Below are 21,617 nucleotides of genomic sequence, written 5' to 3' on the forward strand. Positions count from 1 at the left end.
ATTATAGGCGTGAGGAAGTGTCTGGCATGTGTTATAAACAATACATTAAAATTTTTCAAATAATCCATTTGTTTAGAAAGTCAAACCACTTACAGGCTGTTAGTTTAATCTTGAAGAATTTCTTAGGCAACCCAGAGAAAATTAGGAAGCAACATTATAGTTTTGTTTTTTATTAAGGGAGGCCTATGATCAGATAAGATTATTTTCAGTAGAGGCTTCCAGAAAGCCTGTCCATTAAGTGAGCAATGGTAGCAATATTGCAGTCTGGCTTCAAAACTGACATAAAATTGCTGTCTTTAGACTTACAAATCAATTCTGTCCAAACTGGACTTCTTACCAAGCATTTCTCATCATCCAGATTTGGAAAATATGCCTAGTCTTTCACAACTGGCTATCATCAGAGCTGAAAAGTTGCTGCCTGCTATTCAAGTGATTAAATAAATACTTGCTAAGTATATAAGAGTTCTAATCATTAAGTCCATTATTCTATATAGTCATAGATACATAAAATAACCAGGCCAAGTATCCATAACTTAGGGGTAAATACTTCATTTCCCTCTGATTTGGTGAATGGGTACTTAGTATGAAGCTTACAAAAAATAAAGATTACTTCTAACACCAAACACTGCCAATTGGGCTTAAATCTCTGAGCCACTGGTAAAACCATGTCTTACCTGCATAGTGTTACCATATCCATTATTTTCTAAAGCTATCAAAGCTAAGGCCTTGAGGCAGAAAGGTGCTGCACCAAAATGAAATTCAGTTGCGTTTGGAAGCCTACCCCTCCGTGGGAGTTCAATCAGGTTGAGTACAGTTCTGTGCTGCACAGAGCAGCTTTCAGTGCAGGAGGCAGGCCATTAAATGCTTTCTGAACTCCATTAGTTACCCCTGCTGAGAGTGAAAAGTTCTCGTAAGTGCATAAAATTTAAATTGCCTATGAGGTAAGAACGAGACGGTATTTTGCTGCCAAATATTATTGTCTGTTCAAATGGTCTACGATCACACATATAATGCAGAATCATAGAGTACAGACCTGAAGGAATGAAGCGTTGACTAGGAATACTGTGCCCCAAATCAAATGACATCTCATCATCTGGAAAGACCCCCAGAGTTTTCTTCAGGTGAACTTCCCCCCGGCCTGGCACCTCCAGCCAGGTACATGTGCTCAGATGGAGCCCAGCACCTCCACTCCAGTCTAGACTCGGGACTCAGCCAGGCCCGATCAGAGCGCCAGAGACACTTGGCCTCAGTGACTGAAGGAGGCATGGCACGTGACCCAGTCAGAGCACCGAGGTGAGGTGCAACCCAAGGTGGACAGGACTATTAAGAGAGAGACATGCGCTCTTTTTTACCCCTCTACTCTCCCTGAACCTGGAAGAAAATGGGTTTGGGATTGCAGCTTGCCATTTGCCATCACAGGAACCTGGGAGAGTAAAGCCACACGAAGGACAGTGAAGCTGAGAACTGGCAAGATATTGTGTCCTTATGACACTTTTTGGAGGCCCAGGATCCAGCTGTGTGTCTGAATTTTCAGGTTATGTTAGCCAATAGATCCCATTTTTCTTAGATTTAAGTTTTCTTTCACTTGTAATCAATAGTCCTAACTGATAATTAAAATGGAGAACCATACATTTCAGTCTTGAAGAGACTTATCTCATTCTACAGGCAGAGACGGACACTGAGATCCAGGGAAGTAGCTTTCCCAGGTCCTCTGCTAGCTGGTAGTGTAGCCAGGACTAGCACCCAGGTCTCCTGCTTTCTCATGTGATGTTTTCACTGCACCATGGAGAAAATTAAAAAATAATTATGAAACACATTGGACTGATTTAAAACTTTTAATTAAAACTCTGCTCTAATTAAAAGCTTATTGGGTATTATACTCAAAAAATTCATAATTAATATTTTAAATCATTCTTTACATTGTTACCTAGAATATAAGCAACTTAAAAATACATTAATAAATTAAATTTTTCAGAAATGTGCTTGTGGTCTGCTGTAGCAGCAATAGAAATAGCCCAACAAAATAGCTTAAAATGTTTTATTAAGTATATATAATATTACAGGGTAATATTTACAAAGTTATGTTTTTTTTTAAATAAAAAAGTACCTTGGCAAAGATTGCAGATATTCAAAGCTTTAAACAGTGATAAATTGATTTAATACATATAAAAAAAAAAACCTTTAACGGTAACACAGCTGTAAAACAACTTTGGTCTTCAAATCACTGCAAAAAAATGGCTACTGACAAATAGCACACCTTTAATTGCTATGCAAAAAAGCTCCAAGAGAGGATCTTGCACATAGCAACACTGGAGTTCTCTTTATTTAGAATGGTTAATAGATATTTATACGATGTGGGATCTAATTCTCAACAATGGCTTTTTGTAAATAATGCTCCATTTAATAAAAACAAAATGTTTTCTTCTCTCACCAGTCATGATAACAACACTTTTAAGATTTAAGATGTTGTCTTACAGAGGAGCTTAGTACAAATGCTTTCTTTTTTTCAAAAAGAGAAATTTATGAGAAAGCTGGTCTTCAATGATCTTAATTAAGAACTGTCAAAGCTAAAGGCAGAAAAACTGCCTGGTCACTCACTGCTCATCTCTTCAAAGTTACCTGGATTATCCCTATTAGTCACTGAAAATGACCTAACAAAGGACCCCAGCAGGTGATGGCAGTTAGTAATTTTAAAATATGACACAAGTAAAACTGTTTATAAAAAAATCCCTCAACCAAATAAAATACAATAAAAAATAAACGGTTGCCCGACAATCATTTCTCCAGTTTCCAACAACAGGTAAATTAAGGAGTATGTGTTTCCATACATACACCACAGATCCCCATTTTTGAATACCCATTTTAAGACAAGAGAAACCTAGAAGGTTGATTACAGCTTAATTTTTATTACTGAGATGGAGGAGTAAACTTATCGTGTTTTGAGCTTTGTTAGTGCAAATAACAATTTGGTGGTCACTTACTAAATTGACTATAGCATCCTGAAAAAAGAAATATTTCCAATTACGGGATAGCCCTGTTATTTTAATTCTGACATTCTTAGGGATTTAAACAGAATGGACCTGGAGTTTCCAGGAGAAAAATAATCACCTTTGAAGGTTTTTAGAGCATGTGAAATTAGTCAAAAAAAAAAAAAAAAAAAAAAAAAAAAAAAACAAAAAAAAAAAACAGAAAGAAAGAAAACTCTCAAGCTCACCCTATTAAAAAGTGATAAATCTAAATACAGCCAACTCTCAATCATTTAACTTATGTACCTAGCTTCTGATGTATGCAAAACACTGCAGGAAGAGAGAATGAAAGAAAGAAAAGCTCTAGCTATAGAAGGAATTTTAAAATCAAGGAGAAGAGCAAGGCCAAAAAACTAATAGAACTAAGCAGAGATGCATAAAGTACTATAGGAATGGTAAGTTAAGAGACAAAAGAGCAGCTACACAGATGAAGAGGAACTGCAAAGGAGAATGTTTTGAAGGAGAAGACAAATAGAATTTGGCAAAAGTAGCTGGAAAGGTTGTTGCAGAAAAGGACAAATGGTGTCACTGTGAGAACACACAATAAATAAAACTGAATGGAAGAGTCAACAGCAGAAACTGGGATCAGGGAGTAAAAAGCATATTATGGGACAAAACAGATACATGATGTGCAAAACACTGTCTGCAATTTAAATGTGATGTGATGGAATTTGGGAGCCATTACAAATCTGATTTAAAGAGAAGGAACTGGCCCAATGATGCCCAAGCAGGAGGACTCCTGCTTCTGTGGTCACTTATCCAGAGAAGCTGACAACTAGTGAGAGCAAGAGTTGGTTTCATCTGGCATTTCCCCCACTATCTCTGGTGGCATTGTCTAGGGCAGTGAATGCCTCAAAAGGCAGGCAGCATTAAAGAGAACACAATGGATGGATGAGATCCAAGAGCGAACCCCAAATAAATGAGAGTTTACTACATATTAAAAGGTACAACTTTAGTTTATAAAAAATTTTACTATAAAGATTTTCATACCTTTTCTAATAGGAGCTTGGATCTTTTTCAAGTCCATCTGCTTTTCCCTCCTTTCATCAAAACTGATTTTTAAAGTAACAAACTAGGTTAGCAAAATGTAAATATTTTCAGAAGGAAAAAGTGCTGCAGGAGCCATCAGATTTGTATAAAGGAATACAGCTCCCTCTATATATGTTATTATTTTGGACAGCTACACAATCAAGGAAGAATATACATGTGTGTATATACATACGTATATATAGATATACGTATATATTTGTGTATACATATTTTTTTTTTCAAGAAGAGCTGTCTTGCTAGTATGCTCAGTTTTCTGAGAGGCCTCAGCAGGTCATAAATTTAGGTTTGCCATGGGCAAACTACTTGGTCCCAACATGAAATATGACAATCAATTTGGCATAAAAGAGGCACACGGGAACATCTGATGGACTAAGAAATAACTATTATTAATGCAACTACAAATATGAATATCTTATTACACAAACAGGAAGAATTACGTATTTTTACAGGGTATTGGTGAGCAGTCAAAAAGCGTGGCAAATTACCTAGAAGTTTTAAAAGTTTTAAGTGATCAAATATTTGCATCAAATATAATTCCACCCAATAAAGAACTTTGTATTTAAATGTTTTTACTAAAAGCACAAAATTAACCTTTGCTCTCCTGTAGGTACCCCACCTTTGTCCATACAGAAGATGCATGTGCCTATCTCATACGTATGCACATACAAACACACATCCACAAACAGGTAAAAAACGAATGCTAAAAGTCTAAAAGTACTCCAGGCGATCACAACTGTCAGAACATTAATTTTCTTCTAACCAGGATAGGAAATGTGGGTTTTGTTTACTTTTCAATCATAGGGGAAGGGGAGTACGAGGCAGGACTACAGGAGGAAGGTGATGAATGTTTATCATGCAACATAGATACAACAGTAATAAATCCCCATTCAAGGGCTGGCCTGTTGGCCTGATGGTGACACACATTTTGTTGCCATGCAGGAGACTCATAGTTCAAATTTCAATCTTGCTTTTTTCATGCCCCAGATCAGAAAAGAAGTGAAGAAACACTGTAGATTTTTGCCTTCAAATCAGAGGAAGGGAATACATATGTTACAACCATAGCTATTTTTGCTGAAAAGTGTGAACACAGTGCTCTGAGAACAAGTCTGGCTCCTTCCTGCAACTGGTGCTACCGTGTCACTAGACCATGTTCAAAGAGGAGAAAAGGTGCTACATCTTGTACAGCAGAAGCAAGTAACAGGAGGACAAGACAGGGTTTCAAGGGGTTATGTGAATAAAAGGAAAACATATCCATCAATAAAAGTACCCTAAATCTGGGAAGGACCTGTTACACTGTTTGTTGAAGGGGGAATGTGGGAATGGCAACCCCCAAGAATGAGGACCACTATCTCCATCAATATCACATCATACGGAGATCATACAAGATGCTCCCAACCAAATTCCTGCCTGTACTTAATTTATTATTCCATTGACCCAGAAGTGGCAGACACCTCTCAGCTAATGCCATACTGCCATAACTGCCCAAAGCTGCTGTGAACCTGAGTTGGCAAAGGTTTGATGGAAGCCACTGGTTTTCATAGATATCTCTGGGTAATCACCAGGGCAGTGCTAAGTAGTTATCACCCTGAACCAATTTAAACTGGTTACCTAGAGGCCAGAGGCCCTAGGACCTGAAAGGCATCATTCTTGGAAATTGTCCATTCTACTATTGCCCCTAATTGATTAAAAATAACAACAAAAAACTGGATCTCAATTGGGCAAACAACATAGATCATAATTATTTTATTAACTAAATTACAGCTGCTTTGAATAAAAACTTAACTAACAATCACGTAAGGGTCTCATAGGTGACAACCAGTTACTTTTCTTGTTTCTTCTCCCCAACAGTGAATCATCAAGGCCATGGTGCTTAAACACAAGTGTATTCCTTTCACGTCTTACTACTCTCCAAATCGGAGTCCATCACTTCACTTCAGTTATTCTGGAAAATTGAAAAATGAACACATAATCACTATTCGTGTCTATTTTCTATCCATTAAAAAGTTGACACATTAAAAAAAGTTTCAGATATATAGTATCTAAAAATTAAGAAAATAGACCTGCAAAGGTCAGAGACAGAAACCAGGCAAATCATTAGCCTTTTTAATTTCAGTAAGAAAAAGGCCAATGCCAAATGAAAGTAAAAAATCAACAGAGTCTGATAATCTCTGTTTGCTGGGTTGGCTGAGGAAAAGCCAAGAGATGTTGATTTTTCAAAGCAAAAGATGTTGATCCTAGAATAATATTCTATAATATTCACTTTGGATCTCCATCATTCATTTAATGTAAGTAAAATAAACATCTGATCAGCTGTAGATGAAAGAGAAAAATGGTACTGACTCTGATCCCTAGGAAGCACCCTGAACCTCATTCATTGACAAGGCAGACATACTGTAAGCAATAAGCAGTTGTCAGTGGGAAGTACCCACCAGCCAGACATTTTAAAAACAAATTCTGATCAGCTGAATATTAGCAAAATTAAGAGAATCTTGAAGATCATCGTAGATTTCATCACAAATATTCAAGGCAAAACTGTTTTACAATATTTCCTGATGCAGTAGTTTAAAAAAGTCACATCTTAAGAGAAATTAACAAAGGAAGAGGCACTCAAGATTCTTAGATTGCTTTCCTGAAAATGGAGAAAAGTTTAGTTTCTTCATACAGCTACAGAACAATGACACCACCAAGGAAAAGGAAAGGACATAGAAATTAAAAAAAAAAAATAGGACATCAGAATGTAAACATGAACAAACCATGCCACAATTCCTGGAACAAACCATGCCATGCCACAGTTACCAGAACAAACCATGGTCACAATTCCTGGTACTAGTCATTTTATGTTTTGTTATGTCTTTTAACTTATTCCTGTGAACTATAGTCTTTTTTAGGAGGGTAATGGCTTATATAACAAGACATGCTTTTAAAGGCTGTGACACAAACATACAAAAGTAGGATCATTCTGTGACTCCATGCTGAATACACGTTGTTTTAAACTTTGTTCACCAATGCATGACTGGAGTGTTTTTTTTTTTTTTTTTTTTTTTTTTTTCTTGAGACGGAGTCTTGCTCTGTCACCCAGGCTGGAGTGTAGTGGCACGATCTTGGCTCACTGCAAGCTCTGCCTCCCGGGTTCACGCCATTCTCCTGCCTCAGCCTCCCAAGTAGCTGGGACCACAGGTGCCCGCCACCATGCCCGGCTAATTTTTTGTAGTTTTAGTAGAGACGGGGTTTCACCGTGTTAGCCAGGATGGTCTCGATCTCCTGACCTTGTGATCCGCCCGCCTCGGCCTCCCAAAGTGCTGGGATTACAGGCGTGAGCCACCGCGCCCGGCCGACTGGAGTGTTTTTAATCTTATGCAAATATTAATGACACTTGGGGGGAATATAGCTTCCTGAGTTAAATGCTGCACTTTGCTACAGAAGAGGGCAGGTAAGGTCACAGACTTTAAAACAGTAAAATATAAAGCAAACTATTTACATGACCGAGGAGTGATTATAAATATCAAAGGTAAGAAGACATTTTTTGATAAGATAAAAACATAAACATAATTACTAAATGCCAACAAAACTGAGGAATCATAATATGTTAAGGTAAAACCAAAATAAATGCTTGTAGCACTCAATATCTCAAACCTATGTATCTTTAAGAACAAATATATTTCTTTGAAATATTCTATAAAGATTAGAAGTTATTAGCCCAGAGTTCTTAAAAAAAAAATGGAAGCAAAAGCTGAGGACGAAACATCTCTCTCTCTCTCTCTCTCTCTCTCTCTCTCTCTCTCTCTCTCTCTCTCAACCTCTCTCTTTAATCATCTCCCAAAAGGTTAGAACCAAGCTCCTGATTGGAAAAGCAGAGATGTTAAGTCCCCATGGGTTAAATGCAACAAAATCACCAACACAAGCATAAAAGAAACTCTGTCAAAATGATAAAGATTTGTGCCAGATTATTTATGTGCCTTATAAAAGGCATCTTAAAGTTACAGTCACCAGACACGGAATCTGAAAAACATTTTACAAAAAGTGGTAATTTCTCTTTGCTGGGAGCCATATGACTGGAGTCTGATTCGTGACACCCTACAGTTTTTACAGTAGTAGTTTTGCAATTTTTAGCAAAGTAGATTTAAGTTGTATACATCAAGAAATGTGAACCTTTATCATCTGACAGTGTCCCTTTTACTAAAAAAGAGCCACATTTTCAAGAAGCTTTTTTGTTTTCCAATGTCCATGTTTTAACTGATCTATAATTATTAAGTGCATTTTATACTTACCATCATTCATCATTCCTTTTGATTCTTTGAATGCTAGGATTAGTAACAAGCCAAGCAGGCAGTTAGTGAGGTTCCACAATTGGAAATCATTTCTAAATAAACAAATATGCAATGATATGCTAACTAGTCTACAACTCTACAGCCAAATTAATTGTAAAGCTATCATTTCATTATGTAGCCTTTCTGTGGATCATACCCACAGCATTCACAAAGGAAACAGACTTAGTTGGGAAATCAGATCTAGGTTTACAAAGAAAGAAAATGAGATGTTTTGGTCTATCTCTGTGGCAATAGCCTGTATCTTTCTAAAATGTGTACATCACAAATTGGAAGTAATTGGGATCCTTCTCTACTAGGGGGTGCCATGCTTCGTCTCAACCAGTAGCAAAAGGCAACGATCCCCTTGCCCAAATATCACTTGGTTAAGGTAAGCAGCTACTTAGACACAGAATAGTGCATTTTTCCCAGTGGTGAGAATATTATAAAAGTAATATTCATAATTCTTTTTTATTTTTTTTGAGACAGAGTCTCACTCTGTCACCAGGCTGGAGTGCGGTGGCATGATCTCAACTCACTGCAACATCTGCCTTCCGGGTTCAAGCAATTCTCCTGCCTCAGCCTCCCGAGTAGCTGGGACTGCAGATACACACCACCATGCCCAGGTAATTTTTGTATTTTCAGTAGAGACAGGGTTTCAACATGTTGGCCAGGATGGTCTCAATCTCTTGACCTCGTGATCTGCCCGCCTTGGCCTCCCAAGGTGCCGGGATCGCAAGCGTGAGCCACCGCACCCAGCCCATAATTCTTGATGAATAATCAAGAGTAGAGATGCCAAGGAAAGAAAAAAAGAGGAAAAAAACCTAGATTCTTCCTAAGGCATAGACAGGGCATTCTAACTGTTTTGCGGGCCAGATCAAATTATGATCTGGTAAAGGATTAAGAGTGAAATAACCACATACCATTAAGGGGTTCCTCTACAGCTTTCTGAAAAATATTTAAAATATATTTACATAAAAATATAATTTATGTCATGTCATTTTATAGTAAAACTTATATATGCTAATATTTAAATTACGTAGTAAGCAGTAAATCCTACAGTCAAAAAAAAAAGAAAAAACAAAACAACGAAATAAGCCTGTAAATGTTAAAGCAAAGCTTGCCAAGTCGGGTTAATAGTTTAATAATAACTGTATTATTCTCTTAATATTATTTTTCTAAACAGAATTTCCCACTTCACCACTCTCAGCTCAAGAAATTCTAACTTCTAAAAATATGAAAGTGCAAGCATAAATAGCAACAACAGAATAAATAACACAGTGAAGAGGTGGAAGCAAAACAGAATCATCTTTAAGTATCGCAAATTGAACTCAGTAACTGGGAAAGAAAATGTGTTAGGATTCACAGGTCCAGTTAAGTTGCTGGCCTCTTGTGACCAACATAGCTATGGCACCAATCTTTCTAGAATATACCCCTGTGGTAGACACACATACCCGCCCCACCTGCCCTTTAGGCACAATGAGGCTTGTCAGACTTAGAAGCATATGTGACCTCTACCTCCGGCCACAGACAGAAGACTCTCTTTGGCATTCCAGATACATCTATCATCACTCCGTTATAGGAAGCTAAGTACAATATAATCCTTTCCAGAGCTTATGTCCACAACATACCTCTTGGGCCTGTCACTGTGATAAGTCTATGTTTATAAATATGCTTTTCTCTTCATTTATGCCCTCCTAAAATTACTCCTTTCTTGCAATTTCCTCAGATGGCTTAATAAGGTATCTAAGGTACAATGAAACCTTAAGCACAGTTTTAAGGGAAAAAATGTTTATAAAACATTTGTATGGGAGAGGATCGAATCATAACTCCGAACAGATGTTTTCAGCAATATTTACATTTATTTTATAGATTATAATTATCAGTGATGTCAACTTAGTATAGATTTCTCCTCATTTTTAAGCCTGAAATTGTCATTCTGTGTATGCACATCCAATGAATCCAACAGGTGAGGTGATATATTGGAATCAGCTTCCTTCTGATTGCAGAGATAATATAGCCATTATTCCTACTTTCCAGTTTTGGGTGTGAGAAGTCAGTACAATCTTAAGAAATCATTTATTCCATCCCATTGACACTAAAATGACCAAACACAGGTTTTAAAATAGAACTGGACCCATTCATGCAAAGGTCATGCAATGACTTCAACATTCTCTTAATTTGACGTGAGACAAAACAGATAGCAAAATATCTCAATTACCAAGTTCCTCAGTCTAATCCCTCAAATGATCATTCACAATTCATTTAATAAACTTTAACTTACCCTAGGAGGTTGTATAGTCTTCTGATTGGAAGCTGATATAAATAACAAATAAGAATATAAATTTAATAAATGAAATAAACTAAGGCATTTGGTAATGTTTAATTTTAAGATAAAATGTTCAGGGCTAAAACTAAAGGTGCCAGAGATGTTAATGAAAGAGTTCCAGCTCTGACAGTCTATTCAAACATGCTGAATATTCTTGATTATATACACTGATTTGAAAAATGAAGCAAATAACCCATCTACATCAAATAGTAAACACATTCTCTCATTTGTTTATGCCATCTTTCCCCCAAATCAGCCACTTGTTACACTGGCTGGTGGGAAAATGCTGTCACCAACATACCCCCACCATGGGTGCTCCATCCTCCCTCCTCTATCTACCCAGAGTGTAGACAGAATGTGCCAGAATTTGTCCCCACTACTCCATCTCCCTTAGCTCACTGCTCCTGTGTCTTACAAGCTCAGTCTCTTTCTCCACATCACTCCCTGGGTCTTTCCAGTTTCAAAGCTCCAAAGAGCTAACAAACTAAAGAAAATACTCAGATAGCTCTGAGTATTCCTCTATCTATTTCTTCTTAGCTTTCTGAGTTGCCTTTTTCACTGCTTCCAAATGGATTCATTAATGAAGTTGAAGGAATACAGTACATGAGCAAAGTGACGAAAGGGAAAAAGAATACCCTAGTTGGGGAGGGAAGAAGAGATAGCTTCCTTATAAAAAAAACAAATGAGAAGGCTGGCCGTGGTGGCTCATGCCTGTAATCCCAGCACTTTGGGAGGCCAAGGCAAATAGATTGCTTGAGCTCAGGCATTCAAGACCAGCCTGGGCAACATGATGCAACCCTGTCTCTACCAAAAATACAAAAATTAGCTGGCGTGGTGGTGCATGCCTGTGGTGCATGCCTGTAGTCCCAGCTACGTGGAAGGCTGAGGTGGGAGGATCTCCCTCGTCCTGGGAGGCAGAGGCTGCAGCGAGCTGGGGTCGTGCCACTGCACTCCAGCCTGGGCGACAGAGCGAGACTCCATCTCAAAAAATAAAAAAACCCAAAAAAACAAATAAATACAGAATAAGAATCCTACAGATGGAAAAGCGTTGAACAGAAACATGCCATGAACCACTCAGCAGGAGGGGGATCCTACTGAACAGAGAGGCCCATTCCGCTGGGACCTGGGCTGGATGACAGCACTGGATTTTCTCATCAGCAGATGGAGGCACGCCTCCAGGACTGCTCTGTGTTCCTTACTATTTATTTACCACCACTGCACACTCGAATTCTGTCAAGCTTCCAAAGCTGGCAGGGAAAAGGGTGGGTCCTGACCCAAGGAAAGCCAATCTGTGAGCCAGCCAAAAGCTGGTGAGTCTTTCTCAAACAGGAAAAATGGCAACAGACTGGACTGACAAGTTTCTCCCTGCCACTGGACTCTAAGAAGAAACAGAAAAAAACCCAGAAAGTTGGTGATGGGAAGGGAAAGTGAAAAAGAAACAGAAAGGAGACAAGGATGAGTCCAAAGCTGTAGGTAAGAAAAGTTGTCTGTGAGAAGGCATGAATAGGATAAAAAACAGTGGCATAAACAAGAGGGTGAGCTAGCTGGCTAATAGGCAAAGAATCAAAGACAGAGGAACTCAGGAACTATAACTGACAGGGGCATCACCTTACTCTTGCTGCTGAGAGGGCAACACGATGCTTCAGTTCTTTGATATGGAATGGATCCTTCCAATTCCTAGACTACATACTGTCCCACCCCTGTGAGGCCCAGTTATGTATCTGAGCTCATAGGAGTCCAGTTTCTGTTAGTGCCATGGGCGGCTTTAAATAGGCCTCCCTTACTGTGGAGGAACCTGGGGGAGTGACTTGGTCCTTGTATCCAAACAAGAAGCCAACCTCTTTTTAAAGTAGAACAGGGTAAAATGGGTTGGGATGCACTACATTTAGCAGCCTCCCCAATAAACTAAGCAGAAATACAGAGCTTTATTTGGGAACATCAGGATAGTTACATGTATATACAACTGACTTCAATGAAACCATGCCTTATATCTATGTTCTACAAAGAAAAAGAGAACTAAACAACTATCTAAATTTCTGATGGTAATATGGAAGTTCAGAGATAAGGTTTTAGAGTTACATTTTTGAGCTCATAAATGTATTTATCAGAATAAACACTGCCAGGTGTAGTGGCACATGCCTGTAGTCCCAGCTACTTGGGAGGCTGAGGTGGGAGCATTGCTTGAGCCCAGGAGCTCGAGGCCAGCCTGGTCAACATAATGAGACCCTGTCTCTAAAAACAAAACAAAACAAAATAGAATATTGCTAACCGCCAAGTAACTCCTTTTCTTCCCTAATAATGTAGAAAGAATACTTTCTAGTTCTAAATCTCCGATCCAAGGGATGTCACAGTTGGCTGGCCCATTCTGAAAAAAAAAGATTTATGAAGAATGGTACTTCAAAGGGACATCAGTCAGTTGTGATCCCTCTAAATATTATAAAACCAAACAGTGTACAAGTTAATTTCACCTGAGTTAATTCTCTCCAATATGGATATAACCCATGTGACAAAAGAATTATTACGATTTCTGCTGCTACCATGAGCCTAAGACATTGACAGCCATATATATATATTTTTTAACCACAAGCCTTAAGCATTCCATATGAGCATACTTGCAATGCTTCTTGATTTGTTCTTCTCTCCCTGAAACATCTGACTCCATGCCATAAATACATTTCCAGGGTTTAAATTTTTCAGAAACATTTTTTCTATTGATACCAAATTTACCTCTCCTTAAATTGAACAAGAAAATATCTGAATTTGTATCTATACATAGATATAAATTCTACGTATATATTCTGCATCTGCATCATTCTAAAATATCTGGGATGTTGTGGTAAATATGGTACTTACTGCTACCAGATTGATTTGTATCAAAACACTATATGCCCTTATATTGAACTAACTGGTAATGGCTTTAAAAATGAGAAAGTATTGATCCTTATAATTATATAAACGTTCTCTACAAACAACAAGCCCAACTTTAGTGAGTTTGGTTAGGTTCTTGTAATCTTTTCTATGCTTTCACATTAAGTTATTGTGCCCAGTCCTTTTTCTCATCTTATAAAATTAAAATGCTTCCAATAAAAGAAAAAAAATACAACACAGTTTAAAAAGTTAAAAAATAGAAAGTGAAAGTCACTTTCACAGAAAGTTGTAGAAAGTGAAAGGCCTACTCTTTAAAATAGCAAATTAAGGCTACAAATTTAAAGTTGGAAATAATAAAAATTATAAAAGTTAAAAATCTCATAGCGACATTAACTTCTTCTTGAAGAGAAAGCTTGGATTTTTAACTATTTGAGGATTTTATTGCATTTAAATCAAAACACAATCATTAGGCTTTTCTAAAACAGAACACGTGCAATGAGTAAAAATTATTTTGGAGACACTTAAAATTTTAACTTCCTAATATAAACGCTCAAATTTGCAACCTTAATGTTACATAGATTCAGATTTACACAGTCAGATTATATAAGCAAACCATATTAATGTTCCTCCTAGTCTACCATGTTATCTAAAGAGCAACTTTCCTGTACCTTGTCTCTTCTTGCCTTTCAACTGACTGTAGGTGTCCCTCTGAACCCTGGCATCAGACAAGTTGATTTAAAAAGTTAATTTAGGATACTATCAATAAAATTAGGACACTATCAATAAAATTGCACTAAATTTTAAACATATAGCATAAATTTTAGCATATAGTATACTTATATGCTAACCTATGACAAAGAAAAAATAATTTGGGGTACTTGTCAAGATTTAAGTCATTTTAATTTTAATGTCAGAACAGTGACAGGTACAGTACAGTGGTTTCACAGGCTTGGAGGAACGTAAGTGATGGAGAAGGCAGGAGAGTGAAGTTAAGGAGGTGGCAGATAGACAATGCTTAGTTCCACTTGAGACATTGTCACCAGACCTGCTGGCAACTGTACTGAAGATCATTCTATGCTAGATATGGAAGGCATGGGGTGGCATGGGAGTAAAAGGGAGGACAACCCAGATAGTGAGGAAAAAATAAGAGCGTGCTGCCCGTCAGCCAAAGGTATCTCATACTACTTCACCAGAGTTGTATGGATACTGCAAATCACACACTATTCTCAGGCATTTGTGGGGAGCAACAAAACCAGGAGTGTCATCTTCCAGAACCAGACACATGGTGATTGGAAGATGTAACAAAAATAGAATATGCACCAACATTCAAGATGTTCACTGTAGCTACCACATGAATTCCATTCTGCTTTAGATGTCTCCATTGTATTTTATGGCATTATGTGGTATAAAATTAGAAAATTTCATTGAGCAACAACTAAGACTTATGAACTCATATGCTAAGGATACGCAGATTTTAGTTAAGTATTTTAATTATTTATCTAATAAGCATTAATTAAAGAAAGACACAGAATATATGACAGAATTGAATTCAATTAACAATCATCAAGAACCAAAGTTCAGAAATAAAGGTAAAAGTTTTTTGAAACTATTATGTGAGTCATATGAGAAATTATTTGACTATAACAATTCAAGTTTCGTATTAAGTTTTAGAAACACATACAGCAAAGTTTACCTAAAGCAAAGCAGAAACACTATTTTTTTACTCCATTAATTTATAACTTTTGATTATTTTGATAGGTGGTTAAGAGTATGTTTTATTTCATAAAAATATAATTTTTTTAAAAAACGGAAACTAATATAAATTACATTATTGGGAACATCTTGAGCTTAGGTAAGATAACATTAGTTTCAGGCACAATTGAAAATATCTCTCTGTGTACATATATCTCAATAAAAAATAAGAATTTATGCAGAAATGTTACTTGAAAATTGGCAGATTAAATATACAAGTTAGAAACAATGAAGTAAATTCCATACTTACTAATAATTGATTTTAAAAGGAGTAAAAGCCTAAATTTTGAAACTCAATGTTTTCATTATATTGGTTTTAACTAGAACTGTTTTAAAGTCATGCATTAGAGGTCACTGCTCTTTAAATGAACAAAATTGATAGATTGTGAATTTTAATTCCTGTCTGGGGTGTCTATGTCTGCAAGAAAAAGAGCAAGTGACAAACAAACAGGTCTGTGCAGGACAGCTCTATCACAGAAACACTGGAACAATTAAAAATCCTATTCTATTACTTAAAATGGATCCTCAAAGATCTCTCCCCTTTTACTTAGTATAAAAAGGTACACATTCTAATAGATAAAGCCATTTTCCTTTAAACTACTTTGGAAACCAAATTTTCATTAATCCTATATGTCTTCTACCCTCTTTAATTACCCTCAAATCATTCCAATTGTATTTTCTGACTTCTGGTCTTAAACTGGAAGAACCAACTAAAAATCCTATATGTCTTCTACCCTCTTTAATTATCCTCGAATCACTCCAATTGTATTTTCTCATTTTTGGTCCTAAACTGGAAGAACAAACTAAAAAGCATTTTCTAAGTGATATATCTGAAATTATTGGCATAGGTTAATGAAAATAAGATTGACTTACCCACAAATTTCATATAAACTAGTCCAAGTAATTGTGCTAGAGCTAAGATACTCAAACCTGAAATCAGAAGAGGGCCATGCATTGGTATACACGCTGTAAAAACAAATAAAATTCTGTATTAGAAAAGCATATGAAATAACTTACTAAAAAACAGTAATAATCCCAAGTTTTAAGAGAGTTATTCTAACGATCAAAAAACAAAAATTATCCATATATGTTTATTAACTTAACCAGTAAAATGACTCAAAATTATTAGAAGAACAAAGCCCTCCTTTGCATAACACATACCTTATCATATCAAGAAATGGGAACTGGTGTTTCAAGTCTAAGGCTCCAACCAATTTGAGCCCAGTTATTTTAAAAGCTCTTCCACAAATACAGGCATATCAGTTTGGGTGCTAGAACAATCAGCCACCAAGCCATATATACAGCTAATATCTTTGTAGCGAGGAGGAAAGCACTATTACCACTGGGGTAAATTGGAAGTTTAAAAAGAAAAGCTCAGAATGCTAAATGCTGTCAAGTATATGAATGAACAAAAACTCTTATTTATTGGTGGTGATAATACAAAATGGTACAGCTATTTTGATACAGAGAGTTTGGCAGTTTATTTCAACATACTCTTTACAGTCCCGTAATTGCACTCCTTGGTATTTGCCCAAATGGAATTGAAAACTTATGTCCACATAAAAATATCCATGTGAATGTACTTTCCACTCAATTTTGCCATGAACCAAAAACTGCACTAAAAAAAAAAATCAAGTCTATATATTTTTAAAAAGAGAGAAAGAAAAAGAAAAAGGAAGAAGAGCTCTGTCCAAAAGTAACCCAAATTAGGTCTACAGAAAGATGACTCTTACCCGCAATACAGAGACTCAGTCCAACCACAGCGAGGATATAGGCTATCACCTGAATAACCAATATGGCAATGACGAAGGAGGTTAATCCAATCGCTGGAGGAAGGAAAAGGATGTAACAGAAGCATGTCAAGAGTATTTAAAAAGCAATAACTTCCACTTGCATTTGGTATAATCAGGGATCTCCTAAGACCAAAGACTGACTCTGGAGTTCATTGTTTGACGGTAGATGTTAACTCAGTGATCTAACCCTTCCACACAAGTAGTCAGCTCCAAATTCACACATTCGGCAGCCTTTAATTTTCACAGTCAGCTAAGCTGGACTGGAAGTTTTTACCCTAAATCTTAGAACAATGCTGCTTTTACCACACTTGTGCATTTTACAATATGAATGGCTATTATGAATGTCTTCTCCACATGCACATGGAATTGCTCTTGCTGAGGGAACCATTATGCAAATACCTGACTGTAAACATCATGCTCTCTATCTCTAGATGTCATTTTATAACAAACTAATACCTTTCCAATGTACAACGAGCCAGAGATAGGCTCTAAGACCAAGTGTTAAATGTGACTCTTTAATAGTAATAACTAAATATGGTAGTGATCTACTTTCAAAATGCAGTGAAAATGATACTGATTATAGTTTGGATTTCCATACCATCTCTTAAAACTACAGTATTAAGGTTTGCTAATAATTAAAACAAATATGTTTCTACTATTTGTGATTCATAATTCCATTTTATAGAACCAGTCTTCTTAATGCAGAAGCAGAAGCTTAGCAAAAGAAGAGAAAGACTGCGTTTAACATCCACTTATAACTTCAAAAAACTGAAATTAGAATATGAAAATAATCATTAAGAAGTTATATGGCATAATTTAAAATTATGCTGATTGGCATCAAATACATATGAAAGTCACTTTTTACAAAACAGCTAACCTAGAATAACCTTAAAATTAATATGAATGGGAAAATGTCACTAAGAATAGCATGAAAAATCTTTTAATAAACCTACTCTTATTGAGTTGTAAAAAATTTATATGAGCATTTTCACCAAAACTGCTGTTTTGTAAATGAAAAAGGTAGACAAAATCATACTGTAACAATGAAAACTCACCTGTACTAAACACATAGTAGTGAAGTAATATTAATATCCCTGTAGAAGTCACAATTAAACCAAGGCCAGTAGCATTCTTTAATGAATATTCACCTGTCAATAAATAAAAACATTTAAAATATTTTCCTACATACTTTTTAAATGTACTAATCTAAATTCTGTGCTTGACAACTGTGAAAATTTTAAAAATATACGTTTCCCTGAAAACCTCACACAAAATTAGTGACTATTTTTTGATTAAGACCAAACTTAAGACATCTAAATCTCAACATTTAAGTTTCAACATGCTGAAACCTTGAATTGGCTCTGCCTCCTTCTTAACTAGTTTACAGAATTCCAGTGAGAAACTGTGTATTCATCTTTTACTGTTCCCTTCATCTGCTGTATTCAGTATGCCCCAAAGTCAAATCAATTGTTCCTTCAAGTTGTCTTCTGAATTCACCTCCTTCTTCCTGCTGTCTTCACTAACTTCAGATACCAATAGAGCTGCCAAGCCCATGTTCCTAAATATTACACCTGCACTGCATTCTTCTCCACAAACGATGGTGTGCTATAGTTATTAGGTTGAGTCCCAGCCTTCCTTTGCTTTTCTTTACATGTGCTACATATCCTCATTTCCCACTCACATTCCCATCCTCCAAATGCAACTGCCAATTTCCAGACTTGGTTCCCACATTCATTCTACTTTCATGTCTTGGCCAATGAAGTTTGCCTCTGTAGTGAGTTGAATGATGGCCCTAAAATTATTTCTACCTCCTAATCCCTAAAACCTGTGAATATTACCTAATACAGCAAAAGAGTGAATACTGCATTATATGGCAAAAGATATGATGAAGTTAAGGATCTGAAAGGAGGAGCTTACCCTGGATTATATGAGTGGGCTCTAATTCCAATGACAAATGTGCTCATAAGAGAGAGGCTGAGGGAGATTTAACAAAAACACAGAGGCAAAGACATAGAGGAAGGAGGAGGCAATGTGACCAGAGAGGCAGAGGGTGGAGTTATGCTGCCGCAAACTAAGGAATGATAAACACTGTCATTCTTCAGCAAATTCCAGAAGCTAGAAGAGCCAAGAAATGGATTCTTCCATACAGCCTTGAGAGGGAGTGTGGCCCTGATGACGTCCTGATTTCAGACTTATGGCCTCCAGCATGGAAAGGGAATTGCTATTGTTTAAGCCACCCAGTTTGTGGTCATCTGTTCCAACAGCCCTAGGAAACTAATGCAGCCCTCCTCACCTTGGAATGCACTCATCTACCTCCTGCGTTCCTGCCTAGGAACTGCACATCTTACCTGGGACGAAAAGAATGGCTCCAACAATGACAATGACAGTGATCACTAGTCCAGCAACAAGTAAAGCAATTGTTTTCTCATCCATACCACCGGATCTATATTTAAGTGCTTAAAAAAGAAAAACAAAGAATTATATGAACTCAATCACAAGTGAAGCCATTTTAATAACTTGTAAGGTACAGAGACAAACTGACAGAAGTACTATAATGTAATAACTTATGAGGAACAACTCCTTAATATCATCAAGTCACCTCACATCTCTTTCATAAGCAAATGGATAACGTCACGGCAGTATAAATATGGATGGTGAATTTATAGGTGACACCTTATTTTCCTACACTAACAAATGAGGTTCTATACATCAGTCTTTCTCGGTTGATGTATTACTAATAAATTGAGCTAGATAAGTTTTTGGGGGGAGGGGGGACACTGCTCTGCATAATATAGAATGTTGAGGAGCATCCCTGGCCTCTACATACTAGATGCTAGTAACTAGATGCCAGTTATGTTAATCAAACTGTTTTCAGACATTGTCAATGCCCCCGATGAGCAAAACCACTCCAAGTGACAACACAACACTGATGTACATAATACTAATGGGAAATAATGGGTTAATTAACAATATTGAGAAAAAGAGAATTTTGTCCTACCTTATAAAAAATTAGTAAACAATCTGGAAATCTAGTTATTTTGTTTTGAAAAAAATGACAGAATAAAACTGGGCAGATTACACCCTTGTGAAATCCTGATGAAGAAAAAAAGCTTAAATTGTTCAATTAAAATATTTTAATAAAAATAAACTGCAAAGACTCAATGGGATTCATCATACATGTTATTGTTTCTGCTGCTAGCTCCACTGTCAAGTATCTCATACCTTCTCTGAAAGAATGGAATGGGTCAATCTGCGAATATTAGTTCTTTTACTATATATGAATCTTTTAAATTTTGGTTAATATTGAAGTTGATTTTTTCACCAAGGAAGTTGTTTAAGGCAACCTAAAAGCAAACTGAGTAGCGGAAAGAAACAGCGTGTGATTGAAATGCTGCTGTGTGTCATCCACATAGAGATAGTCTCCATGACAGTAATCAATTGGTGGCTGTCATGAAGGGGAAAATATTTTAAATGTTATATTTAGCATTTAGTTTTTTTTCTTCTACAGTGACAAACATTAAATAAAGTAAAAGCAATAAATAAGCCCCTAAATGATTGTGATAAAAATCTATGTTTAAGGTATATGACAGGTACCTAAATATTTCTGGAATTTCTATCTACCCATAATTTATAACCTCAATTTTAGTCTCTTTATGGGGAGATAAGTCCTAAGCAATAAATAACCAATTTATTAATGTGGATTTCAGTTACACAGTTGAGTAACTGAAATCCACATTAATCAGAGAAGAGAAACCCATATTAATCAGAAAACATCCTATGGCAAGTTCCCCAAGTTTTTATTTGATTCATTACTTCCGCCCAGCCCTGGACTTATGTGTCTAATACTCAGTCATAGCCTTGCCTTCTTATAAGGCACAGAGTTTTCATAACTTCCCTATTTTCTAGGCTCAAATGCTGGCTAGAATGAAACTGAGTGTATAAGTCACAAAAGGCACATACACAGAAAAAGGAACTTTCTCTAGACATATGTCACATTTTCCATTTTAATCCCATATATATTGTTATCTAAATAGAGCTTGAAAGTTCTGCAAAGGGTTATAAAGTAGAAGCTGTTTCAAATGCACCTCACAGTCAATCAAACATTCATAAGAAACTCTTCCAGGTTTAAGTCAATGCATAAAAAAGCTACTAAGATCAAGCAACAAGAATTTGCCTTAGAGTACAGTATAATTTCATGGAAAAAGGTTGACTTATGTTCTTCTTCTATATTTTTCTTTTTCTTTTCTTTTTTTTTTTTTTTGGAGACAGAGTCTCTCACTCCGTTACCCAGGCTGGAGTGCAGTGGCACAATCTCGGCTCACTGCAAACTCTGCCTCCCAGGTTCAATGATTCTCCTGCCTCAGCCTCCCGAGTAGCTGGGACTACAGGCATGCGCCACCAGGCCTGGCTAATTTTTGAATTCTTTTTTTTTTTTTTTTAGTAGAGACGGGGTTTCACATTGTTGGCCAGGCTGATCTCGAGCTCCTTACCTCAT

General features: G+C 36.6%; 1 protein-coding gene across 8 annotated transcripts in view; it reads right to left on the reverse strand.

Annotated features, from left to right (window-relative positions):
- Positions 1 to 1,816: 1,816 nt before the first annotated feature.
- The window catches only part of CD47 (CD47 molecule), a 47,941-nt gene continuing 28,140 nt past the window's right edge, over positions 1,817 to 21,617 (reverse strand). The window contains exons 4-11 of one of the 8 annotated variants that reach the window (XR_924218.3): positions 19,471 to 19,578; positions 18,178 to 18,270; positions 17,063 to 17,155; positions 16,203 to 16,295; positions 14,246 to 14,292; positions 10,665 to 10,696; positions 9,304 to 9,328; positions 1,817 to 6,018 (exon numbers count right to left, since the gene is read on the reverse strand). Coding sequence is in view for 4 of the 8 variants with exons in the window: in NM_001777.4 (NP_001768.1) it covers positions 6,014 to 6,018; positions 8,345 to 8,377; positions 9,304 to 9,328; positions 10,665 to 10,696; positions 16,203 to 16,295; positions 17,063 to 17,155; positions 18,178 to 18,270; positions 19,471 to 19,578 (482 nt within the window). In the remaining 4 variants the exon portion in view is untranslated. Of the gene's footprint in view, positions 6,019 to 8,344; positions 8,378 to 9,303; positions 9,329 to 10,664; positions 10,697 to 12,978; positions 13,075 to 14,245; positions 14,293 to 16,202; positions 16,296 to 17,062; positions 17,156 to 18,177; positions 18,271 to 19,470; positions 19,579 to 21,617 lie in introns of those variants that run through there. The other 7 variants (NM_001777.4, XR_241522.3, NM_001382306.1 and 4 more) reach the window with 7 other exon arrangements.

The sequence above is a fragment of the Homo sapiens genome, chromosome 3, assembly GCF_000001405.40.
Source record: "Homo sapiens chromosome 3, GRCh38.p14 Primary Assembly".
Taxonomy (NCBI): domain Eukaryota; kingdom Metazoa; phylum Chordata; class Mammalia; order Primates; family Hominidae; genus Homo; species Homo sapiens.